Source organism: Homo sapiens, chromosome 19 (genome assembly GCF_000001405.40).
Source record: "Homo sapiens chromosome 19, GRCh38.p14 Primary Assembly".
NCBI classification, from domain to species: domain Eukaryota; kingdom Metazoa; phylum Chordata; class Mammalia; order Primates; family Hominidae; genus Homo; species Homo sapiens.
In genome coordinates, this window is record NC_000019.10 from 46,917,529 (window position 1) to 46,944,521 (window position 26,993).

General features: G+C 44.6%; 1 protein-coding gene across 3 annotated transcripts in view; it reads left to right on the forward strand.

Annotated features, from left to right (window-relative positions):
• Positions 1-26,993, forward strand: part of ARHGAP35 (Rho GTPase activating protein 35) — a 144,081-nt gene that overhangs the window by 56,532 nt on the left and 60,556 nt on the right. For all 3 annotated transcript variants that reach the window (XR_002958305.2, NM_004491.5, XM_024451473.2), the window contains exons 2-3: positions 960-4,828; positions 19,736-19,880. Coding sequence is in view for 2 of the 3 variants with exons in the window: in NM_004491.5 (NP_004482.4) it covers positions 1,148-4,828; positions 19,736-19,880 (3,826 nt within the window). In the remaining variant the exon portion in view is untranslated. The remainder of the gene's footprint in view (positions 1-959; positions 4,829-19,735; positions 19,881-26,993) is intronic.

Consider the following 26,993-nt stretch of genomic DNA (forward strand, 5'->3'; position numbering starts at 1 on the left):
ACCCAGGAGACGGAAGTTGCAGTGAGCCAAGATCGCACCACTGCACTCCAGCCTGGGCTACAGAGCAGGACTCTGTCTCAAAAAATAAAATAAAAATAAAGGTTGAATAATATTATATTGTATGTATATATCACATTTTGCTTATCCATTCATGAGTAGGTGGATACTTTGGGTTGCTTCCATGTTTTGTTGTTGTTGCTGTTTTGAGATAGTCTTACTCTGTTGCCCAGGCTGGAGTGCAGTGATGAGATCTCAGCTCACCACAACCACTGCCTCCCAGGTTCAAATGATTCTCCTGCCTCAGCCTCCCAAGTAGCTGGGATTACAGGCACATGTCACCACACCCAGCTAATTTTTGTATTTTTAGTACAGACGGGGTTTCACCATGTTGGCCAGACTGGTCTTGAACTCCTGACCTCAGGTGATCCGCCCACCATGGCCTCCCAAAGTTCTGGGATTACAGGCGTAAGCTACCACGCCCGGCCCAGGTTCCTGTTTTTGCAGTGGGTTTATAATTCATTACCATACTTAATTATTGTGGCGCTCAAATTGTCCCAGAGTTGGCCAGTGGGAGCCCCTTCAGGCTGGCTTCTGTGTCCTTGTGAGATGCTCCATCGTTTTTTTTCTTGCATAAAAAGATGTTCCAGGCTCATTTTGTCCCTATCCTGCCCTAACCCTGGAATCAGCCCTTTTTCCAGGGAGCCCTCACACCCTTGTTTTAGCACTTAGCACACTGTTTACTTATGTTTTCCTCCACTGGACTAGATTGTACCTCTCTGGGGACACATAGATGTGAGTCTTACTTGCTCTTGTATCTTCACCCAGCACAAGGCCTGACACATGAGATGTTTACTAAATATTTGTTGAATAAAAAATTAATTTTTACTGTAGTTAATTGATTAAAATTTGGTTCTAAAATTATGATGCTGATGGGTTTTCTTTTTTTTTCCCCCATCTAGGAAGAAATGTTGGCTATTTGGCGATGAGAGGTGGTGAACAGTGACCATACTGGTATACAACACTATGGGACCTGGCATTTTTGCTGCATGTCCAGCCCACCCCCACTAATAATGTAGGAAGCTGTCTGGTCCATTGGAAACACTAATCTGATCTCAGAAGTGGCTGATCGTGGCAGGATGTGTCGACGATGATGATGGCAAGAAAGCAAGATGTCCGAATTCCCACCTACAACATCAGTGTGGTGGGATTATCTGGGACCGAGAAGGAAAAGGGCCAGTGTGGGATTGGAAAGTCTTGTTTGTGCAACCGCTTCGTGCGCCCGAGTGCTGACGAGTTTCACTTGGACCATACCTCCGTCCTCAGCACCAGTGACTTTGGAGGGCGAGTGGTCAATAATGACCACTTTCTCTACTGGGGAGAAGTTAGCCGCTCCCTGGAGGATTGTGTGGAATGTAAGATGCACATTGTGGAGCAGACTGAATTTATTGATGATCAGACTTTTCAACCTCATCGAAGCACGGCCCTGCAGCCCTATATCAAGAGAGCTGCTGCGACCAAGCTTGCATCAGCTGAAAAACTCATGTACTTTTGCACTGACCAGCTGGGGCTGGAGCAGGACTTTGAGCAGAAACAAATGCCAGACGGAAAGCTGCTGGTTGATGGTTTTCTTCTTGGTATTGATGTTAGCAGGGGCATGAATAGGAACTTTGATGACCAGCTCAAGTTTGTCTCCAATCTCTACAATCAGCTTGCAAAAACAAAAAAGCCCATAGTGGTGGTCCTGACTAAGTGTGACGAAGGTGTTGAGCGGTACATTAGAGATGCACATACTTTTGCCTTAAGCAAAAAGAACCTCCAGGTTGTGGAGACCTCAGCGAGATCCAATGTAAACGTGGACTTGGCTTTCAGCACCTTAGTGCAACTCATTGATAAAAGTCGGGGAAAGACAAAAATCATTCCTTATTTTGAAGCTCTCAAGCAGCAGAGTCAGCAGATAGCTACAGCAAAAGACAAGTATGAGTGGCTGGTGAGTCGCATTGTGAAAAACCACAATGAGAACTGGCTGAGTGTCAGCCGAAAGATGCAGGCCTCTCCAGAATACCAGGACTATGTCTACCTGGAAGGGACTCAGAAAGCCAAGAAGCTGTTTCTACAGCACATCCACCGCCTCAAGCATGAGCATATCGAGCGTAGGAGAAAGCTGTACCTGGCAGCCCTGCCATTAGCTTTTGAAGCTCTTATACCTAATCTAGATGAAATAGACCACCTAAGCTGCATAAAAGCCAAAAAGCTCTTAGAAACCAAGCCAGAATTCTTGAAGTGGTTTGTTGTGCTTGAAGAGACCCCATGGGATGCCACCAGTCACATTGACAACATGGAAAACGAACGGATTCCCTTTGATTTAATGGATACCGTCCCTGCAGAGCAGCTATACGAGGCCCACTTAGAGAAGCTGAGGAACGAAAGGAAAAGAGTTGAGATGCGAAGGGCGTTTAAAGAAAACCTGGAGACTTCTCCTTTCATAACTCCCGGAAAGCCTTGGGAAGAGGCCCGTAGTTTTATTATGAATGAGGATTTCTACCAGTGGCTGGAGGAATCTGTATACATGGATATTTATGGCAAACACCAAAAGCAAATTATAGATAAAGCAAAGGAAGAATTTCAGGAGTTGCTTTTGGAATATTCAGAATTGTTTTATGAACTGGAGCTGGATGCTAAGCCCAGCAAGGAGAAGATGGGTGTTATTCAGGATGTTCTGGGAGAGGAACAGCGATTTAAAGCATTACAAAAGCTCCAAGCAGAGCGTGATGCCCTTATTCTGAAACACATTCATTTTGTGTACCACCCAACAAAGGAGACATGCCCCAGCTGCCCAGCTTGTGTGGACGCTAAGATTGAGCACTTGATTAGTTCTCGGTTTATCCGGCCGTCTGACCGGAATCAGAAAAATTCACTCTCTGACCCTAACATTGATAGAATCAACTTGGTTATATTGGGCAAAGACGGCCTTGCCCGAGAGTTGGCCAATGAGATTCGAGCTCTTTGTACAAATGATGACAAGTATGTGATAGATGGTAAAATGTATGAGCTTTCCCTGAGGCCAATAGAGGGGAATGTCAGGCTTCCTGTGAACTCTTTCCAGACGCCAACATTTCAGCCCCACGGCTGTCTCTGCCTTTACAATTCAAAGGAATCGCTATCCTATGTAGTGGAAAGTATAGAGAAGAGTAGAGAGTCCACGCTGGGCCGGCGGGATAATCATTTAGTCCATCTCCCCCTTACATTAATTTTGGTTAACAAGAGAGGAGACACCAGTGGAGAGACTCTGCATAGCTTAATACAGCAAGGTCAACAAATTGCTAGCAAACTTCAGTGTGTCTTTCTCGACCCTGCTTCTGCTGGCATTGGTTACGGACGCAACATTAATGAAAAGCAAATCAGTCAAGTTTTGAAGGGACTCCTGGACTCTAAGCGTAACTTAAACCTGGTCAGTTCTACTGCTAGCATCAAAGATTTGGCTGATGTTGATCTGCGAATTGTTATGTGTCTGATGTGTGGAGATCCTTTTAGTGCAGATGACATACTTTTTCCTGTCCTTCAGTCCCAAACCTGTAAATCTTCCCATTGTGGAAGCAACAACTCTGTTTTACTTGAACTACCAATCGGACTGCACAAGAAGCGGATTGAACTGTCTGTTCTTTCATACCATTCCTCCTTTAGCATCAGAAAGAGCCGGTTGGTTCATGGGTACATTGTTTTTTATTCAGCCAAACGTAAGGCCTCTTTGGCTATGTTACGTGCCTTTCTTTGTGAAGTGCAGGATATTATCCCTATTCAGCTTGTAGCACTCACTGATGGCGCTGTAGATGTCCTGGACAATGACTTAAGTAGGGAACAGCTAACTGAGGGGGAGGAGATTGCTCAAGAAATTGACGGAAGGTTCACAAGCATCCCCTGTAGCCAACCCCAGCATAAACTTGAGATCTTTCACCCATTTTTTAAAGATGTGGTGGAAAAAAAGAACATAATCGAGGCTACTCATATGTACGATAATGCTGCCGAGGCCTGTAGCACCACCGAAGAGGTGTTTAACTCCCCCCGGGCAGGATCACCGCTCTGCAACTCAAACCTGCAGGATTCAGAAGAAGATATCGAGCCATCTTACAGCCTGTTTCGAGAAGACACATCACTGCCTTCTCTGTCCAAAGACCATTCTAAGCTCTCTATGGAACTGGAGGGAAATGATGGGCTGTCTTTCATTATGAGCAATTTTGAGAGTAAACTGAACAACAAAGTACCTCCGCCAGTCAAACCAAAGCCTCCTGTCCATTTTGAAATTACAAAGGGGGATCTATCTTATTTAGACCAAGGCCATAGGGATGGACAGAGGAAGTCTGTGTCTTCTAGCCCCTGGCTGCCTCAGGATGGGTTTGATCCTTCTGACTATGCTGAACCCATGGATGCTGTGGTGAAGCCAAGGAATGAAGAAGAAAACATATACTCCGTGCCCCATGACAGCACCCAAGGCAAAATCATCACCATTCGGAATATCAACAAAGCCCAGTCCAACGGCAGCGGGAATGGTTCTGACAGTGAAATGGACACCAGCTCTCTAGAGCGAGGGCGCAAGGTTTCCATCGTGAGCAAGCCAGTGCTGTACAGGACGAGATGCACCCGGCTGGGGCGGTTTGCTAGTTACCGGACCAGCTTCAGCGTGGGGAGTGATGATGAGCTGGGGCCCATCCGGAAGAAAGAGGAGGATCAGGCATCCCAGGGTTATAAAGGGGACAATGCTGTCATTCCATACGAAACAGACGAAGACCCGCGGAGGAGGAATATTCTTCGCAGCCTAAGGAGGAACACTAAGGTAAGACACCAGTCTAGGATTAGTCATAGTGTTTTGTACAGCGTCTCGGTGAGGGTTGATTGATGATGATTTTTCAAGGACAACCTATTCTGGTAAAAAAAAAACTGCCCTGTGTGTGTATTTGACTTAACATAAAAAAGCAGTGCCTCAATTAGCTACCATTATTGGCAGCTCTCAAGTAGTTAGGACTTTGGATAGATAGTCTGAGTTGTTGTTGCCTAAAACAATAGTTAATTAATTAGCAAAATGAGGAGATAATGCAGAACTTGTCAGTGTCTTGACAAGTGGCCAAGCGCAGTGACAATACACTTGCTCTCCCTTCACTGAAACACCAGAACTCAAAACTGCTTGCCGCAGTCTCTCACTGCTAAACATAACATTTCATCCATACATCTCTTAAATGATCCTTCCTCCCTTGCTGATCTGTAAAGGTTGCTGCATTTGAGATTGGTGAAGGATTGGATGATGATTTGCACACACAAATCAGTGACGAGTCTTTGAGTACATAAATGAAAAAAGAGAATCTTGCCACTGAGAGTTATAAACCTGTCCCGTATTTGTTAAATTGGAATACCATCCAGTCTATTATTTTATCTTCAAGGGAGTTGCTGCTGCTATCAGTCAGAAACTCGGATTTTATTTAGGGATCACAAATGGTGCAGGGAGAGAAAAGAAAAAGTTAACTGTATACATTATAAACATTGGGCCTACTCGTCATATGTAGAGACAGGAGCAAATGAAGTCTCTTTTTTTTTTTTTTTTTTTTGAGACGGAGTCTCGCTCAGTCACCCACGCTAGAGTGCAGTGGCGCGATCTCCGCTCACTGCAAGCTCCGCCTCCTGGGTTCACGCCATTCTCCTGCCTCAGCCTGCTGAGTAGCTGGGACTACAGGCGCCCGCCACCGTGCCCAGCTAATTTTTTTATTTTATTTTATTTTTTAGTAGAGACGGGGTTTCACCGTGTTAGCCAGGATGGTCTCCATCTCCTGACATCGTGATCCGCCCGCCTTGGTCTCCCAAAGTTTTGGGACTATAGGCGTGAGCCACCGCGCCCGGCTGCAGATGAAGTCTCTTATCCTGCGTAGAATTGTAGTTTGTAGTCTGCAGGGCAGAGAGCTGTAAGCAGTACTCTGTCCCCTTGGGTTTAGGCTTTGAGAAAGAAAAAGCGTTTCTCAACTTTTTCTTTTTCTTTTTTTTTTCCATTTGGAGTAGGGAGAAATACTCTTCCCCCCCACCCCCAATTGCCAAGGCTGATTTAGAAATACTGAAATACTCTTTACAGGCCAGGCGCCGTGGCTCACGCCTGTAATCCCAGCACTTTTGGAGGCCGAGGCGGGTGGATCTCTTGAGGTCAGGAGTTTGAGACCAGCCTGGCCAACATGGTGAAACCCTATCTCTACTAAAAAAGTACAAAAATTAGCTGGGCGTGGTGGCAGGCGCCTATAGTCCCAGCTACTCAGGAGGCTGAGGCAGGAGAATCACGTGAACCTGGGAGGCAGAGGTTGCAGTGAGCCAAGTTCACGACACTGTATTCCAGCTTGGGCAACAGAGGGAGACTCTGTCTCAAAAAAAAAAAAGGAAAAAGGAAAAAAAATGTGTATATATATAAATACTCTTTATTTTTTCAGAAAAAGACATTTTGGTGACATGCCACAACAGAACTGTGTTATATAATAATCCTTCACCAGCAGATTATGATATATAGAAGGATTTTTTCACGTTAAAGCTTTTGCTACTCTCCCTCCCATGAAAGAACAGAGAACAGAGTTACTTGTCTGAAAGTACTGCAGGGACCTCTGGAAAGAAAGATTGCCAGAAACTTTTATTATTACAAATCCTACCAAATCAGAAGGTTCTAGAATCCAGGCTGTCTTGAGAGCTGACAATCCTGACAACTCTGTTGTAAAATGTAATACAGAGGCCAGTTTGGCAGCCCTGCGGGCCCCGAGAGATGGAGGAACAGGGTGCCATCACCCTCCCACAGAAATTGCATCCACTTTGTGCTACATCCCATAGTAGAGAGTGTTCCTGCATTACCGCTGACCAGGAGCTTCCAGAGTTTTCTCATCTGTGCAGTGTGAGAAAGGGCAGAGTGGTTCTGTATCCCTCCCCACCTGTGCTGACTATTAATAAATGCCATAGGCATCCTCCTGTCTGATTTTCCTTTGCCTGGCTTTTCTACATGGAGTCCTTTGTCTGCCTCCAGTGTTTTCTCCTCCAAAGGTTGGTAGGAGGCCACCCTGTGGAAAGCATTGCTTATTTAGGAAGCCAGAAAACGGCCTGACTTGCCTCCGGTATTTTCCCAGAGCTCACCTATTTAATGATACTGGAATCCAAACATTTTGAACATTTCTTCTCTTCCTCCTCCTCTCCCAATGAAGACTGTTGCCAGAACAGCTTAAAAATGCTGACAGTCTTCTAATTTGTGGGGGTGTTTGCACACCTGGAAATTAGGAAGGTGGCATAATAGCATACTGAATTATAACTATATTCTGACTTCTAGCTACATTTTTAATACTTACTGAAAATGATGCTTTAAAAACACATTCCCATGCAAGCCAGGCTTTAAAGAGCACACACTGTAGTGGAGGCTCAGCAGAAAACAGCTGATCACAGTGTGCCTCTAAGATAGCTGTGTTCATGCTGGTAATGAGCACTTCCTAACCTGAGACTTCCTTCCCCGGGTTGCTGGGTCAGCGTGCAAGAAGTGGTCGGCTTCCGGTCTATCTTTAGCTATGTGGGCCACACCTCTTCAAGTCAAATAAAAATGATACTTCTGGCCCAAGAGCAATAGCGTGCCAGAAGTCAGTTATGGAGTATCCTCTGGAAAGAGTGACTAGAAGGTGAAATTTTCTTTTCCTGCCTTGGAAAATGGTGCTTTGAAATGAGGGTAGTTGCTTTGTCATCCCAGTGCAGAGATGAGCAAATCCTTTGCCGCTAGAGCAAACCTCCTATTAAAATTGCTGCAGTTCGGAACACAGACTGGCACTTGTTTTACTGGAAAAGCAAGATGCCATCAGGGGAGAGAAGGGCCAAGCCAACCCCTGTGTGGGAGATTTGGCCTTTGGTTTTTATTGGCATGACAAAGCAATACAATATTTATTTGGAGGGAGGGGGCAGCTAGGCACTAGGATTTCAGTTGGTAAGGGAAAATACACTGAGTACCTCCTGCGTGCCAGGCACCATAGGGAAATGACACAGACCCTTCTTGCCCAGACCTTAGTACCCAGTTGAGGCAGCAAGGCCTACACAGCCACTGAAAATAGGTGGCCTGCCCAGGGAAGGCTATGTGTGGGCATGTCGGGTTAGTTATGTTAGAGTAGGTTGTAGTGATTAGGAGCTCAGGCTCTGGGAATCTGGGCTACAGTCAACTCCAGCTCCTCCGCTTCCTTAGTTGGACTTTGGGCATGTGAGTCACTTCTCCACATTCTTTCTGCAAAAGAGGGAGCACCTTCCTGATCAGGTTGTGAGAAATGAACACCGGGCGTAGTGCATGCTGGATAAGTGTCAGCTGTCATCATTTAACTAGACCCCAGAGAATGAGTGGAACTAAAGCAGTGGCATGAGGTAAGGAAGGACTTGAAGGTGGAAATATGCATATTGTATTCCGAGAAAGGAGAAAACTTGTCTGGTCTAGCTGAGGGCTTGAGGGACCAACATTATCCGTCCCGTCTTTTGGAAGTTTTAACCTCATGCATTACTGAGCTGCTTTCTTGGTACTTACCCTAGCAACCACCCTAACAAAAAAATAGCTATGCTCTGGGTACCAATGTGATACAGAAAAAAATCACTCAGTGCCCTTGGCTGATTTGCTAGATTAGGTCTTTACTATAAAACTGGAGTCGGAGTGAGGGAATCGCTTTCATTTCTCCTCATGAAAGTGCAGACTGTAAAGCTGACTCTCATTCTGGGTGCTTTTCCCAGCTGAACCATTTAGCAACCCACCCTCATAGTGGGAGCCTTCCGCACTCAGCTGAATGAAATTGAAAATCTACGATTGCACTTCAGTAGGGTCCATGAATAGTGGCTTTGTCTGTAAAGAGTTGTTGTTGCACATGGTCTCTGTCTCCCAGTGCCATGCGTTTGCAAAGACGAGATCAGGATCGGCAGGGTCTTATTTTAAAGCCAAAAAACAGGCTGGGGAGCCTTGTTCCACAAAGTATGCCTTTTGGTCATGCTGAAATGGCTGCGTTTGGTGTGTTTGACTGTGGATTTAAAAAGAAGACATTATTGGCTATTTACCCTTCTATCTGATGTGTTCTTATTTTGGTGCTAAAAAAAAAAAGACAAAACAGAATGATAAAGAAAATCTTTCACTCACTGCAGCAACCACATGACAAGACAACCTATTGAAAAGCTAACCAATTCAATCATGCATTGTTTGGTCTATAAGGCACCAAGTAACCAGTTTGACAGTTTGTGTCCCCCCCTAGTGAATTGGCTTATTTCATTGGATTCAGTGAATTGGCTGGTTGTTGTGGCTTTGTGTGGACACAGCTCTCATTTTGTGAGGCCTAGAATGGAGTTAAAGTTTCTAGTGTGAATAAAAACCAGCTGGGGAATTGGACTGCTTGCTCCCCTGGGAGGGATGTTGAGTTTTGACAGACAAGCTGAATGCGATGAAATATGAGCTCTTTGTAACCTGCCTAGGAAAGACTCTCAGTGTGTGCTTCAGAAATAGTCCTACTCAATGAGCTTTGAGACCAAATACATAACTTGGTTTTAAAAATGGGGTGGGCACACTGACTTGACCTTGGATTTTCTGTTTCCTGGAAAAATTGTGTCTTTTAAACGAGGTACTTTTGTTTCCAAGCCGAAGTTCAGTCATTCTTTTAGGAAGGAGACATGCATTTCGGTGCGTGGGCATTCAGTGAGCACTTGTTTTATGCCCAGCATTGTGTTGGGTGCCCTAGGTGTGGTAGTGACGTTAATCCAGCTTACAGTCTTGGGGATGTTAGGTTTTAAACATGTACTTGCATGCATTTTGAATATTACCAGAGGGAAGGTACAGGATACTAAGGAATTGTGTAACAAGGAAGTTTAACCTAAACTGCGGTATCAGGAAAGCTCCCCAAGGAAATGATATTTAAGGCTGAGACTTTGGAAGCTGAGGCAGACAAAGTCAGTGAGGATGGAAGCTTCATGGAGCTGAAAGAACTTCATGTGTTCAAAGAGTTGAAAGAAGCTTAGCGTGGCTGCTCTGGAGAGGTGAGGGGGACCCACGCCAAATAATAGAGGGCTGTGGCTACCACGTGAAGGGTTTTGTGTTTTTGTGCATTTATTGAATACTTACTGTGTGCCAGGTACGTGTCAGGCATTTTCACATCAATTTTTTATTTATTCCTCCTCCCAGTCTTAATGAGGTGATGTTTTTCATCCTTGATTTTGAGTTGAGGTAACTAAGGCTCAGAGAGATTAAACCTTGCCCAAGTGAGTGTAGCCACTGAGTGGAAGAGCTGAGATTCTGAACCCTGGTGTTCTGACTTCCACTTCCTGTGGATTTTCATCATCCAGTCTGCAGAAAAGTTGCTAATATTCAACAGTCAGGTGCCTATATTTAGACCACTCAATCAGTCCAGTCGATTTGTTCATTCAAACAAAAGATCTTTGATTATCTGAAAAAATCCATTTCTCCTCACTGCCCCCCAGAACAGCACGGTGCTGTTTGTTTCTAGCTTCAGAGCCTAGTTGAGTAGAGGACAAAAAAGGCATGGAGACATTGAAATAGCAACTGGAACTTTGAGAAATTGTTTCTCACTGGTGTCACTCGATTCTCAGTTTATTTTAAGCCTGAAGAACTTCTGTAGTGTGTTTTTGGTGATAAAAATAGACTATCTTTAACTATCTGCCTTAGCTTACAGCATACCTGTTCTTAAAAAAAAATTACGATAGGCAACCCAAATCTGTTTTTAAAAGAACTGGGAATTGTGCTGATGCCTCACTGAGCCAACTTGGTCTCCTCCACCACCTGGTGATACTGAAATACCTTTGTAGGGACTCAAATTATTCCAGCTCTAGTCAGGAATCACCTTTGCTTATAAGGCAAAGGCCTTCCAAATGGATTTTCTACAGCATTTGAGAGAAGCAAGCAATAAGAACTGACCCATAGCGTTGGAAAGTCCAAATTCAGTGTGTGTTGAACTTCAGGCAAGTGTTCATGAAAATGTACCTGGAACTAGTGGGCCCTCCTCGCTGTTTGGCTCCAGATCACACTGGCCACGAGTTGTCTTCTCGGGGGGGTGGATCCGCGGTCACCAGACTTCATGCCTTAATAGAACAAAAAGCTATGGTCTGCGCTGGGCGCGGTGGGTCACACCTGTAATCCCAGCACTTTGGGAGGCCGAGGCAGGCACATCACTTGAGGTCAGGAGTTCGAGACCAGCCTGGCCAACATGGCGAAACCCCGTCTCTACAAAAAATACAAAAATTAGCCAGGTGTGGTGGTGGACGCCTATAATCCCAGCTACTCGGGAGGCTGAGGCAAGAGAATCTCTTGAACCCGGGAGGCAGATATTGCAGTGAGCCAGGATCATGCCACTGCACTCCAGCCTGGGCAACAGAGGGAGACGGTCTCAAAAAAAAAAAGCTATGGTCTGGATTTAGTTAGGTCCTGCAATAGGATGACATGTCTCCGTTTCTTTCTCCATTATTTAAGATTAGGGATGACAGGAAGGCCAGGACTTTGTGGTCCTTCCTGTTCATCCGTAAATAAAGATGCTCCAAGATGGTGAGTGACTGAGTCATGGTATTAACTGCCAGCTTGAAGGAGACCATATCTAAGCATTTGTGCTTTAATAATAGATTTTGTCAGCAAGAATACATCTGCCTTCAGGTTTTCTTTTAAACTTGGGCGTGGAATTTTTCAGAGCCCAGAAGGGGGAGCACCGGTTAACCAAGAATACATTTGGAGCATAAGCAAATAACTTAATTAAAAAGGTCCTTTTGGAACTCTTTTGGAAATAGAAGAGAATAATTGCCAATCAGAAAGGCACGATGTTGAATACTGAATGCAAGAAAGTGGTTTAGGGAACAGCTGTAGTAATGCCACTTATGGAATCTTTCCGATTTTCTAAGACTCTACCAGTTACAGTTAGTCCATAGTATGCTACCACACAACTTGGCAAGCCATGGGTGTGACCCTCTGGGGCTCTGTGTATTGATTTCACTCTCATCCTCATTCAGATGGCACTGTCCATGTTCCAGACTACATTCCGTATATGGTGTTACCTGTTACTCTTTTTTTTTTTTTTTTTTTTTTTTTTACATAAAACATTAACGCCGGGCACAGTGGCTCACACCTGTAATCCCAGCACTTTGGGAGGCCGAGGTGGGCAGATCACTTGAGGTCGGGAGTTCAAGACCAGCCTGACAAACATGGAGAAACCCCCTCTTTACTAAAAGTACAAAATTAGCCGGGCTTGGTGGCACATATATGTTAATCCCAGCTACTCAGGAGGCTGAGGCAGAAGAATCACTTGAACCCAGGAGGTGGAGTTTGCAGTGAACCAAGATCGCACCATTGCACTCCAGCCTGGGCAACAAGAGCGAAACTCCATCTCAAAAAAAAAAAAAAATTAAAAAAATTTTTTAAAAGTTGGGGTCTCACTATGTTTCTAGGCTGGTCTCAAAACTCTTGGCCTTAAGCAGTCCTCCCATCTGGGCTTCCCAAAGTGTTGGGATTACAGGCATGAGTCACTGCACCTGGCTGGTGTTAACTGTTTTTTAAAAAGGCCAGACATGGTGGCTCACACTTGTAATCCCAATGCTTTGGGAGGCCGAGTTTGGCAGATTGCTTGAGCCCAGGAGTTTGAAACTAGCTTGGGCAACATGGCAAAACTCCGTCTCTACAAAATATTATCTGGGCGCGGTGGCACACACCTGTAGTCCCAGCTAGTTGGGAGGCTGAGATGGGAGAATCACCTGAGCCCAGGGAGGTCGAGGCTGCAGTGAGCCATGATTACACCATTGCACTCCAGCCTGGGCAACACAGTGAGACGCTGTCTCAAAAAACCAACTAGAAAACCGAGTTCCGATGCCTGGTTCCCCACCACCCCACCTGCTTCCAGTCCAGTTAAATCAAAATCACTAGGGCTGGTGTCCAGGCACTTTGAAAAAAAAAAAAAAAGACAAAAAAAGGCAGTGAATCCAACAGGCTGGGTTCTGTTTTTTATTTCCTTTATTAGATGTGTTACCAAGCATTTAAAAGGTTTAAACGGCTATACTAGATGGTACAACTCTAGTGAACATATTTTCTGACTCTAAAATCTAGATAAGTAACTTTACATTTATAAGGTTGTTTATGGAGACCAAAAGAGAATATTTGAAGTTGACAGCGTAGGGTCAGTAAGTAGCCCTCCCTGCTGTTCCCACAGAAGATAGAATATTCTTACCTTTTTCCATTGTTGCATAGCTGGTACTTGCTCATGTGGTACCTAGATGAGCTTTGTTTATTGTGGATATGTCTTCTGTTACCAAATAGATTGGAAGTTCATTGAGGGCGGGAGACGACTTTGGTCCTAGTATTAGCTCTGCTGCCAGTTTGTTATGTGGCCTTGGGGTGATTCATAAATTCATTAAAAAAAAACAAACCAAGACTCTTGCCTTCTAGGAACTTAGCCTAGTAGAATATTTGTTGTATGTGTACGTAAATAACTGTACCTCATTCAGTACCTACAGAGGGAATTAGGACTTCATCTGGCGGTTTTTAAAAGGCTTATGATATAGTACTGCCAAAGTATGAACAAGGCCTTCTGAGCCTCACCTCCTCACACACTAGTGTGAGCAGCACAGTGTAAGGAGAAATGAGAATCTCTACCACAGAGATAGTCTGCGTCTCAGCTCAATTTGAGAAAATAGAAAGGAACATTGGCCCAGTACATTATTGGAAACTGTTTTTGTTCAGCAAATACATTGAGTGCCCACTGCACGTCAGGCCCTGGAACCCAACCATCTTCCCAGCTGATAGAAGGCCCTTCTTTTGGCTCTTACCTATCCCCTGGCTTCCATTCTACTCTTTTTCTTGCCCCAGTGGACTTGGACAGGGTCTGTGGACTGGGCTTACAGCCGAGTGGGGAGCAGAGGCAGTGACAGATGCAGCTTCCTACTCTGCCACAGTCGGGAGTTTCCTCTTTATGCCCTGTGTCTGAAAAGCCGAGAGACCAGAGGTAGTTGCCAGGCACCATTTCTCCCCAGTGCACCACGGGCATAAACTATTATTTATAAACTTTGCCATGATTAATATCAAGACCAAAAATCAGGTGTGTTTTTAAGCAAACTATGAGGTACAAAGCAATGGACTATGTTGTTCATTTTTTTAAAATCAGTCTAAAAGGCCAAGGTGAAGGTGTTTCAGGCTGGCCCAGTCCTTTGTGTATGGCAGTGGCATTTCTTCGTGGAGGAGATAGACCATGCAGGGGAAAGAGCATGGGGCTTTGGCATTCAAAGATCACCGTACACTAAGTGCTGGCTGTGAATCTCCATGAGTCTCTGTTTTCTCAACTGTAAAATGGGTCTAAATAACCCTTACCTTGCAGAGTGGTCGTGAAGTTTTGAATAATTGTGCAGAGCAGCTACCACCATGCCCAGCCACTCCTAGGGAATCTCTGTTCCATTTTTGACCCAGTTGGACTCTAAACTTAAGAGGTGGCCGGGCACGGTGGCTCACACCTGTAATCCCAGCACTTTGGGAGGCCAAGGCAGGTGGATCACTGGAAGTCAGGAGTTCAAGAACAGCCTGGCCAACATGGTGAAATCCCGTCTTTACTAAAAATACAAAAACTTGCTGGGCATGGTGGCTCATGCCTATAATCCCAGCTACTCAGGAGGCTGAGGCAGGAGAATGGCTTGAACTGAGGAGGCGGAGGTTGTAGTGAGCCAAGATTGCGCTACGGCACTCCAGCTTGGGTGACGGAGTAAGACTCCATTTCAGTAAAAATAAATAAATAAACTTAGAGGCACACATGTGGAGATTGTTCTCAGGGATTGAATTCCTCTGGCTAGATGCTTTTTTCAGTTCAGCCTGCTAATAGGTAAGTGCCTCCGGAAGAAGATGGATGTTGGGTGTTGTTACTTTCTCCTTTTCAAGGACCTGTTGCTGAAAGTGCACCCAATAACTCCCTGAAGAGTGACACACGTCTGACTGGGGGCATGAGATATCTGGCAGGCCACTCAGGAGAATGGCATTTCCATGAGAAATATGCCCAGTAACCCTTCAGATGCCTGAAGTGTTGTTTCTATCAGCAGTCTGGCCCAGCTCTTGGCATGCACCCCAAACCCTGATTTTCTTACTAGGAAGGTTTAGAATTCATTTTGCAAGAGTTCCAATTTTGTGACACCCTAGAGAGCCTTCAGTTATCTCAAGGAGGTATTCTGAAATTCTGTAAACCAGAGTTTGTCTTAAAAAATAGGGAGTGAGATTGAATCCACGTCACTCAGCAAGGAGGTGGGGTGATGCTACTGCAAAAGCTTACCCTCCACATCCACTGTTGTAAATGGAAGGATTGAACTAAATCTGGGGCTCTTTGAGGTGAAAGAGATAGGAGCAGTTGTCTCAGTTAGCCTTCCGTCTCTCTTATCGCTCCCAATGTGACCCTTTGGAGCCATGTAAAAGAAGCCTGCTCTATAGTCAATAGGTAGCTCTATAGCTATTTGAAAATAGCTATCAGAGTGCCCCATTATTCTCTTTGCCAATTTAAAGTTCCCTGGTATTTTATATGAGTGGATCTTTATTACCTTTAGAAACCTTTGGAAGTCCTCCAGATAATCAGTGATCAGTGTGCCTTCTTTTTTTTTTTTTTTTTTTTTTCCGAGACAGGGTCTCCTGCTATCACCCAGGCTGGAGTGCAGTGGCACAATTTTGACTCACTGCAGCCTTCACCTCCCCAGCTCAAGCAATCCTCCCACTGCAGCCTCTCGAGTTGCTGGGACTACAGGCATGCATCACCACACCCAGATAATTTTTTTGTAATATTTTTTGTAGAGATGGGGTTTCACCACGTTGGCCAGGCTGGTCTCAAACTCTGGCCTCAAGTGATCTGCCAACCTCAGCCTCCCAAAGTGCTGGAATTACAGGCATGAGCCACCAAGCCCAGCTAGTGTGCTTTTATTCACTTACTCAGTCATCCATTTATTTATTCTCTCCATCTCAAGAATTTTCACTAGATTATAAGCCGTGGTGGTTAAAAGCACAGGTTTCGCAGTCATACAGACCTGACTTTGTCAAGTTACTTTTTCTAGGAGTTGGCCTCTATCAAATGGAGTTTTTAATACCCACACCCACAAATATTTTGAATCTGGAGTGCTTGTAAAGAATTTATACTGGCTGGGTGCGGTGGCTCATGCCTGTAATCCCAGCACTTTGGGAGTCCGAGGCAGGAGGGTCCCTTGAGCCCAGGAAGCTGTGGTTGTAGGGAGCTATGACTGCGCCACTGCACCGCAGTCTGGATGACAGAGCGAGACCCTATCTAAAAAAGAACTTATGCTAGGTTCTGGTACACAGAAACTACTCAGTTGATGAAGGCTAAATTTCCTGGCTAAGTTAGATTGTTAGAACACACCAGCATCATCTTGTTCCTAGTATTAAGAGGGTGGGGGAATGTAAGATTGAAATTTGTTGTCTGTTTCCTAGAACCATGGTTAGAAGGAGGCTTTAAGGTGATTAGGAATAGCTTCTTTGCAGCTTCCATTTCTGTTCCTTCACAGCGGTTTATTTGGAAGCCTGTTTTATTGAACAGTGCTGTTAGTTTCAACAGGCATATTCTGTAGGATTTGAGATTGTTAAAAACTTCAATGATAGAAGATGGATGAATGTGATTTAAGTACAGATGCTCTTTGGTTATTCAGATTGTATAGCTAACCTTTTAAACTCCAAATGTAAAACTTTTCGACTTTTAACCTTTTAAACTTTAAATTAAAAAAAAATAGGAAACATTTTAAGTGGGGAGAGCATTGTTTGAATCATTGTTATCTGGTTGCAACAATGTGTGAAACAGAGGCACTCAGCCCCTCTTCCCCACCCCGCCCCTCCTCCCGGAGACACAGTCTTGCTCTGTCGCCCAGGCTGGAGTGCAATGGCACAATCTCGGCTCACTGCAACCTCTACCTCCTGGGTTCAAGTGATTCTCCCACCTCAGCCTCCTGAGTAGCTGGGATTACAGGCACTTGCCATCATGCCCGGCTAATTTTTGTATTTTTGTAGAGACAGGGTTTCACTATGTTGGCCAGGCTGGTCTCGAACTCCTGATCTCAGGTGATCCGCCCGCCTTGCCCTCCCAAAGTGCTAGGATTACAGGTGTGAGCCACCATACCCGGCCAGCCCTCTTATTTATTATTTTGAGACGGGGTCGCACTTTGTCACCCAGGCTGGAGTGCAGTGGCACGATCTCAGCTCACTACAGCCTCGACCTCCTGGGCTCAGGCGATCCTCCCACCTCAGCTTCCCAGGTATCTGGGACTATAGGTGTGCGCTACCACGCCCAGCTAATTGTTTTTGTATTTTTTGTAGAGATGGGGTTTCACCATGTTGCCCAGGCTGGTCTTGAACTCCTGAGCTCAAGCAATTTGCCCACCTCAGCCTCCCATAGTGCTAGGATTACAGGCATTAGCCACCATGCCCAGCCTTAAATTCTTTATGTTATACTTCATATAAGTAGAAGATGCTAGAGACACAGTATAGACTCGTTAAATTATTTCCTGTAAATGTATATCATACATCGTTAATTGGCATTTCCTTACTTCTTTGGTAAAAAAAGTCTGAAGTCAGAGCCTGTTTGCTTCAGTCTATAAGGGGAGCAAGCAGCAGCCATTCCCCCGAACCTAGGAGGCTATGCCACTACTTTATGAGGAGCAGGTATCTCACAGTGAGTGGGGACAGGCTTTATGGAGTACATGGTTCTTCCCTGAGACCCCAGAATCCATTCACATTATAGCATTCTCCATATTGAGTCAGGTAGCAGGCTGAATGAAGATTGGATTCTCATTGCCTTTGGTTTGTCATTTGAAGTAATCTCACCCAGCAGCCCAGAAATGGAATGATCTTGCTCTTTCCTTGTGTACATTATATTCTGATCTGTTCTTTTTTTTTCTTGCTATTTGTTTGCACAGGAAGTTCTCAACGAATCTCAGACTAAACAGGAAGTGATTTTTTTCTTATACAAAGGGGTACTGGTAGGAACGAAGATGGGCAGGAGAAGGAGAGGGAATAGGTGGCCTGCGGCCTGGCGGTTCGTTGTTTCCTTCAGTGGATTTTATGTAAAATCCCTAAATACTTTAGGTTTATGGGCTGTGCACATTTCTGAGTAAATCTGCTTTTCTAAATTGGTTTCATCAACTGGAAAATGTAACTGGATTGCTGGAGATACACCTGGGTCTAATTTACCTTGATCCTATTTGGTTACTTTTCTTTTTTAGTAGATATTTTAACAAAAGGCCAAAATTTCAAGTGTATTTCTTTGGCTTTAGGAAATTTATCATTTGTTTAGAGTAATTTTTTCTCCATTTAAGGTTCAAAATAAAAAGATTGAATACTTTTGAGGCAGAGTATCTCAGTATTAATCATGTTAATGAGCATAGGCTTTGGAGACAAACCTTCCTGGATTTGAATCCAAGCAGTCACTTAGTAGTTGTGTCATTTAGGCATGTGAGAGATTTTTTCCTTGGTAAGATTGAGTGTCATCAGGTTTAAAAGAAATAATATTTGGCAGGCTGGGCAACATAGTGAGACCCTCATCTCTACAGAAAATTTAAAAATTAGCCTGGGTACATGCCTGTGGTCCCAGCTTTGGGATGCTGAGGTAGGAAGATCACTTGAGCCCAGGAGGTCCAGGCTGCAGTGAGCTGTGGTTGTGCCACTGTACTCCAGCCTGAGCAACACAGGGAGACCCTGTCTGAAAATTATAATAATAATAATAATATTTGGAACTTAGTCTGTGCATAGTAAGTTCTCAAGTGGTTGCTGTTGCTGCTGCTACTGCTGCTGCTAGTACTTCTTGAAGAAGGTGACTAGGGAAAAATAGACAAAAAAAATACTTTATTTGTCTTGTTTGATTAGTCGACTTTACCTTTTCCTAATGTGGATGCAACTGAGAATTAACCCCAAGCTAATGTATCAAAGGACATTCTCATTTGGGTCTATCAGCCCTAGCAGAATGCCTGCTCTCTTTTCTAGAAAGAGGAAATAATCTGTTTTCCATTTCATTTTTTTTAAAGATTTTAGCTATCTTTGAGTATGTAACATCTATTATCCTTGTAGGGTGTTTGGAAAACTTCCTGTTTACTCCAGTGCATCCCTGGTAGAGGATGTAGATAATCATCGTATTGTTATTTTATTACATAAACATGGACTGCTTCTTATAAACATCTTTGTTCTAATAATGTGGTCTCATACTCAAGGTGTGACTTTCTGGCATCCTGTGTGGTATTCAGAGGCCAGAAGATAGAAAATTAAAAGTAGTGAGATGAGCCAAGCGAATCTTTTTAATCCTTCTTGAAATCTTTTTTTTTTTTTTTTTTGAGTCTTACTCTGTCATCCAGGCTGGAATACAGTGGCGCAATCTCGGCTCACCTCAATCTCCACCTCCTGGGTTCAAGCAATTCTCCTGCCTCAGCCTCCCAAGTAGCTGGGATTACAGGCGCCCACCACTACGCCTGGCTAATTTTTGTGTTTTTAGTAGAGACACGGTTTCACCATGTTGGCCAAGCTGGTCTCAAACTCCTGACCTGAGGTGATCCACCCGCCTCGGCCTCCCAAAGTGCTGGGAATACAGGCATGAGTCACCGTATCCAGCCACTTCTTGACATTCTTTCTAGCAGTTTTTATACCACTGCTTCCCTTCTGGAAGCCTTACTGATGTTTAAGTTACATGTTGATACTCACTTTGTTTTTGTGCTTCCCTTTCTCTTTCCTGGACAGAAACCAAAGCCCAAACCCCGGCCATCCATCACAAAGGCAACCTGGGAGAGTAACTATTTTGGGGTGCCCTTAACAACTGTCGTGACTCCAGAGAAGCCGATCCCCATTTTTATTGAAAGATGTATTGAGTACATTGAAGCCACAGGTAAGAGTATTACCTCATAGCAGTTTATAACTTTCACTGTCTACAGGATGCTTACTGGAGGGTCAAGCCATCTGGAGATTCTGGAATCAGTTGTTGTTGATTGTGAGATGCTCTTGGAGAAGGAGCTGAGCAGTCCCAACAGTTGTCAGATGTGTAGATTCTCCATTTGTGTGCAGTTTTGAGGCTGTCGTTGGGCATTTATTAGGCCTTGGCCTACGAAGGAGCTGTTCTGTGCTCAAGGTGGCAGCTATGGCTGCTTGGGCGCTTTCTCTGTGCTACCTCACCCACCAGAGCATCAGCACTCTGTCAGTTGCCTGCCCGCCTGTGTTCCCTGCAGATCTGTGAACTCCTTGAGGGTTGTGCTATCATTGTGTCCTCAGTACTATAGTGGATACATAATACATTTTGGTTTAGTAAAATTAATACAGCCCTCAGCATTGTTCGGATGCCTGAGACCCATGTATTGATAGGATTTTTTTCTGAGGTAAGAAAATGATTAGGATGTTTGGGATATCTTCTGGTTATGCCGCTCCTCTGACAACTTGATGCTATCACAAAGGTAGACTGTCTTGGGAAATTTTTTTGCATTGTTCTTGAAATAATTAAGTTTTACTTGTGTTGAAACCATTTGCTTTATTCATTTGAGCTCTCATGTGTCCCTTTGGCCTTCCAGTTTCACTAAGGTGGGTTCTTGAGCATTCGGAGTTGGGCTCAGGAACACAGGCTTAAACTAATTTGAAACTAAGGTAGGGATTACAGCCTTCCAATCTGTTCTTTCTAACTCTGATATTATCTACAGTGGTATTAAGTATTGTGTGGTGTGGACAGCCTACTAGGCTCTGCTGATAATTTCAGCAGCATCGTGTGAAGCTGAGTGACAGTGTTCATATTTACTTAGGATGTTGTAAAGCAGGGAAGATGGCTTTATTTATTATTTTATTTTTATTTTTATTTTTATTTTTTGAAATAGAGTCTCACTCTGTTGCCCAGGCTGGAGTGCAGTGACACGATCTCAACTCACTGCAACCTCCGCCTCCCAGGTTCAAGCGATTCTCCTGCTTCAGCCTCTGAGTAGCTGGGATTACAGGCGCCCGCCATGACGCCCAACTAATTTTTGTATTTTTAGTAGAGACGGGTTTTTGCCATGTTGGCCAGGCTGTTCTTGAACTCCTGACCTCAGGTGATCTGCCCGCCTCGGCCTCCCAAAGTGCTGGGATTACAGGCATGAGTTACGGTGCCCAGCCGAAGATAGCATTTTTTTTTTTTTTGAGATGGAGTCTCTCTCTGTTGCCAAGCTGGAGTGCAGTGGCATGATCTTGGCTCACTGCAACCTCTGCCTCCCAGGTTCAAGTGATTCTCCTGCCTCAGCCTCCTGAGTAGCTGGGATTACAGGTGCACACCACCATGCCCGGCTAATTTTTGTATTTTTAATAGAGATAGGGTTTCACCACATTGGTCAGGCTGTCTCAAACTCCTGACCTCGTGATCCGCCCACCTCAGCCTGCCAAAGTGCTGGGATTACAGGCATGAGCCACTGCGCCTGGCCTGAAGATAGTTTTTAAGTTGGAGCCCACCAAAGACTTTGTATTTATTTCCTAGGTTTTCTGTGGAAACCAGAGAAATAATTCCCCCCAGGCTTGAATCTCAGTAATAAGCACTTGGCATAATCATTACAGATCTATAGCTTTGTTTAGTCCATTCTGTACCCAAAGCGGTTTCTCATTGTCCATCTTTTTTTTTTCCTGCTGTAGACACAGGGGTCTCACTTATTGCCCAGGCTAGTCTCACAATCCTAGCTTCAAATGATCCTCCTACCTTGGCCTCCTAAAGTCCTGGGATTACAGGCGTGAGCTACCATGCCTGGCTTCAGTGTCCATCTTTTTGACACTCGTTTTATATTAATTTCCTCCTTTATCTGTCTCTATAAAATGTTTGAAAGTTGCAGGTGTGATATGCACCTTTACATTTATTTATTTATTTATTTATTTATTTATTTATTTATTTATTATTTAATTTTTTTAGATGGAGTCTAACTCTGTCACCCAGGCTGGAGTGCAGTGGCACGATCTAGACTCACTGCAACCTCTGCCTCCTGGGTTCAAGCAATCCTCCCACCTCAGGCTCCTGAGTAGCTAGGATTACCGGCATGCACCACCACACCTGGCTAATTTTTTTTGTATTTTTAGTAGAGATGGAGTTTCACCATGTTGGCCAGGCTCGTCTCAAACTCCTGACCTCAAGCAATCCACCCGCCTTGGCCTCCCAAAGTGCTGGGATTACAGGCGTGAGCCACCATGCCCGGCCTGCACCTTTACTTTTAAATACTTCAGTGGGTATTTCCCAAAAACATTCTCTTATAGAACCACTGTGCATTTATCAAAATTAGGAAATCAACATTGATCTAGTACTAATCTGTCTGTAATCTAATCTATAGACATTCTCATTTCATCAGTTTTCCCACTACCTTCCTTTATAGCAACAGACAAAACACTGTTTTGGTCCAGGACCTTATCCTGGACCACACGTTACATTTAGTGGTCAAATCTGGCCCAGCACAGTGGCTCACGACTGTAGTCCCAGCACTTTGGGAGGCCGAGGCAAGCAGATCATGAGGTCAAGAGATCGAGACCATCCTGGCCAACATGGTGAAACCCCGTCTCTACTAAAAATACAAAAAATTAGGCCGGGGCGGTGGCTCACGCTTGTAGTTCCAGTACTTTGAGAGGCTGAGGCGGAAGATCAGGAATTCGATACCAGCCTGACCAACATGGAGAAACCCAGTCTCTACTAAAAATATAAAATTAGCCAGGCTTGGTGGTGCATGCCTGTAATCCTAGCTAGTCGGGAGGCTGAAGCAGGAGAATCGCTTGAACCTGGGAGGCGGAGGTTGCGGTGAGCCAAGATCGCACCATTGCACTCCAGCCTGGCCAACAAGAGCAAAACTGTGTCTCAAAAAAAAAAAAAAAAAAATTAGCTGGGCATGGTGGCACGCACCTGTAGTCCCAGCTACTCGGGAAGCTGAGGCAGGAGAATCGTTTGAACCCAGAAGGCAGTGGTTGGAATGAGCCGAGATCACGCCACTGCACTCCAGCCTGGCGACAGAGCTAGACTCCATCTCAAAAACCAAAAAACCAAAAAAATAAAATCACCAATCAGTTATTTTGTAGGGTGTTCCTCAGCTTAGCTTTGTTTTCCCTTTTTTTTTTTTTTTTAATTTTTTGTATTTTTGGTAGAGATGGGGTTTCTGTGTTTCCCAGGCTGGTCTCAAACTCCTGAGCTCAAGCTATCCACAAGCCTCGACCTCCCAAAGTGCTGGCATTACAGGCGTGAGCCACTGTGCCCGGCCTTGGCTTTGTTTTAGTTTTTTGGATATTTCATCGTGATCAAGTTCTGGGTTTGCACTTCTGGCAGATACCACAGGGCAGCAATGCCTTTGCTCTGTCCCCTCCACTTCATCTCTGCTGCCCACCATCACCCACCTTCTCAGTCCAGTCTATGGGTATGACAGTTTATCTGCTGAAAACCCATCCTTGCTTCTTTGTTGCCTACCAGATGCAGGTCGCACTCATAATCCTCCTTCCCGGACTCAGGAACAGCAAGACTGTTACTATGCCATTGTCCCCTGCCCTCCTTCCCACCCTCCTTTTTTTTCCCTCTCCCACTCCCTTCTTTCACCCCTTTCTTTCTGTTTTATGCTGCTTCAAGTATTAATTTTAAAATTGTTCTACAAGAATGCGATTTATCAGAAGGATGTGAACCAAGCAGAATTTCTTAGTATTTCTTTGCCTTAGGGCATTCCCCTTGTGTGGTTTAAAATTTGTCCCCCATTCCTTTTTGCCTGTGGAACTTATCCTTATTCTTCAAGAGACTCCTACTCCTAATAGCACTTTGAATTTAACCTCCCTGGTAGTTCTTCTCAGCCAAATTTCACCTTCCTGAAAACAGGATTCTCTGTTCTCCTTGTCTCCCTAGAGCCCGATACAGCATATACATTAATTGATTATTGTAAATTAGCCAGGCATGGTGGCACGCATCTGTGGTCCCAGCTACCCTGGAGGCCGAGGTGGGAGAATTGCTTGAGGCCAAAGGTTCAAGGCTGCAAGTGAGCTGTGATCATACCACTGCACTCCAGCCTGGGCAACAGAGCGAGACCCTGTCTCTTAAAAAACAAAAGAGAGAGAGAAAGAGACAGGGTCTCGCTCTGTTGCCCAGTCTGGAGTGCAGTGGTGCAGTCATAGCTCACTTGCAGCCTCACCTTTCTGGCCTCAAGCCTCTTGAGTAACTGGGACTACAGGCATGTGCCACCATGTCTGGCTAATTTTTGTATTTTTTGTGGAGACAAAGTCTCACTATGTTGCCCAGGCAGGTCTCAAACACCTGGCCTTAAGCCATCCTCCCACCTTGGCCTCCCAAAGTGCTGGGATTATAAGCATGTGCCACTGGACCCAGCCAGAGACCCTGTCTCTTTAAAAAAAAAAAAAAAAAAAAAAAAGATAGATTGAATGAGTGGTTTTCAATCTGGAACACCTTAATTCCATTTTCGTCTTTCTTCAAGAAAAAAATGACCATATATTTCCCCTTGTTGGCATTAGTTTGTACTTTTATGGAATTTCAGAAGAAAAATTAAACCTGGTATCTGTGAGCTTAGTGTGCATTGGAGGGATGTCTTTGTGTACCCTTATTTCCTAAGAAAACTTTTTCTCCCTTTTATAAAATTAAAGCAAGTTCATTGTAGAAATTGGACAAATGGCAAGAACTGTGAAGAGGAACTCAAAGATTCGTGATCTGCTACTTAGTGAAAACCACCGTTAATGATTTGAGATGTTTCTTGTAGTCTTATTTCTCTGCATATACACATATATTTATTTTCACATAATTCAGAGTATGAGGTAAGCTAGCTTTCAACATTTTTTTAACATAGCCCTCTTAGATGAGGCAGAAGAGGCCGGGTGCAGTGGCTCACACCTGTAATCCCAGCACTTTGGGAGGCCGAGGTGGGTGATCACTTGATGTCAGGAGTTCCAGACCAGCCTGACCAACATGGCAAAACCCCATCCATCTCTACTAAAAATACAAAAATTAGCTGGGCTTGGTGGTACATGCCTGTAATCCCAGCTATTCGGGAGGCTGAGGTGGGAGAATTACTTGAACCCACGAGGCGGAGGTTGCAGTGAGCCGAGATCGCACCACTGCACTCCAGCCTGGGCGACAAAGTAAGACTCTGTCTCCAAATAAATAAATAAATAAAGCATGCATGCATGCCAGGCATAGTGGTGTGCACCTGTGATCCCAGCTATTTGGGAGGCTGAAGCAGGAGGATTGTTTGAGCCCAGGAGTTCCAAGGCTGCACTGAGCTCTGATCGCACCACTGCAATCCAGCCTGGGCAACAGAGCAAGACCCTGTCTCAGAAAAAAAAAAAAAAAAAAAAGGAAAAGAAAAAATTACCATTAATTCAGTAGTATCATTTCACATACAGTTCATTTTAAAATTTATTCATTTGACGTAAAACTATATGTTATAGCTGAGCTTTTTGTACTAGGATTCAATCAATAGTCACACTGCACTTGGCTTTGCCTCTTTAGGCCCTTGCCGTCCAGAACAGTCCTCTCTGGCTTGTTTTAATAATGTGATTTTTTTTTTTTTTTTAAAGAGACAGAGTCTCACTCTGTCACTGAGGCTGGAGTACAATGGTGCAGTCGTAGCTCACGGCAGCCTCTAACTCCTAGGCTCAAGTGATCCTTCCTCCTTTTCTTCCTGAGTGCTACAGGCATGCTCCACCACACTCAGCCAATGATGACCTTTTTTGAAAAGCCTAGTCAGTTGTCTTGCAGAATGTCCTCTTCATGTAATGTGCTCTTTGGACCTCTTCAGCATCCTCAGCTGCCTTCCAGGACCAAGTGTGGCCTCTGACTGAGCAGGGGGTTGAGCACCCTGCAGGTGGTGGACGCGGGACTGCTGCCTCCCTTTCTGGACAGGGCACACGTATGAATTGGGCTTACGGGCTCCATAGGGTTGTATTGAATAATTGAACGAATTGTGAGCTAGTGTTTTCCCCAACTTTGACTGACAGATAGTGGGCTTGCACTTTGCTTAGGGAAAGCTGGTGCTGCCACCTGCCCTCTCACCCCATCTCTCTCTCTTGCTCATGGTTGGAATGGCCATATGACCACACAGTTTCCATGTAGTATTCCAGGCAGGGAGTCCTAGCTGATTAGAGATGACATTCCCAATGAAACTTGTTTGCCAGGCCTGGTCAAAGCAGTCCAAAGTCAGAAGTCTTTGTGTCCCTGTTTTTGTGTCCATTTCATGTACCTTGGCACTTTAAGGCTTGTCCTGCAAAATAAAACATTGCATCATCACTTGTGAAGGCAGAGCTTGGGAGTTTGCACTGCTAAGATGAGGATAGGAAAGAAATTTATGCCGCAGGGCCTTTGATGCTGCCCACTCACCTGTCTGCACAGCCAGGGCACGGCCAGCGGGAGTGGAGAAGATGAGCGAGACCAAAACCTTGCCGTGGGGAGGAGGGTGGCATAGCCATTGATAAATCGGGACTTGAACTATCCCATCACTCTAAAAATATTTTTTATCTGATTACAAAAGTAATAGATGGCCAGGCATGATGGCTCATGCCTGTAATCCCAGCACTTTGAGACAGCAAGGCAGGAGTAGCATTCAAGCCCATTAGTTTAAGACCAACCCTGGCAACATGGTAAAATCCTGTCTCTACCAAAAATACAAAAATTAGCCATACATGATGGTCCATGCCTGTAGTCCCAGCTACTCAGAGGCTGAGGTAGGAGGATCGCTTGAGCCCAGAAGGTTGAGGTTACAGTAAGCTGAGATCATGCCACTGCACTCCAGCATGGGCGACAGAGTAAGACCCTGTCTCAAAAAAAAAAAAAAAAAAGTAATATACTTGCTCACTGTAAAACAAATTAATCATTATAGATATGTAGGACAGAAAGTAAAAATTCTTTATAATCCCAGTCTCCAGGAGTCATCTCATTAATGTACAGATTATGCTTCCTGCTAATGCTAGTCCCCCAAAACATTGAAGTCTGAGTATGAGATCATCTCTGTGCTGTTCCGCAGCTCATTGTCTGTTTTAGCAG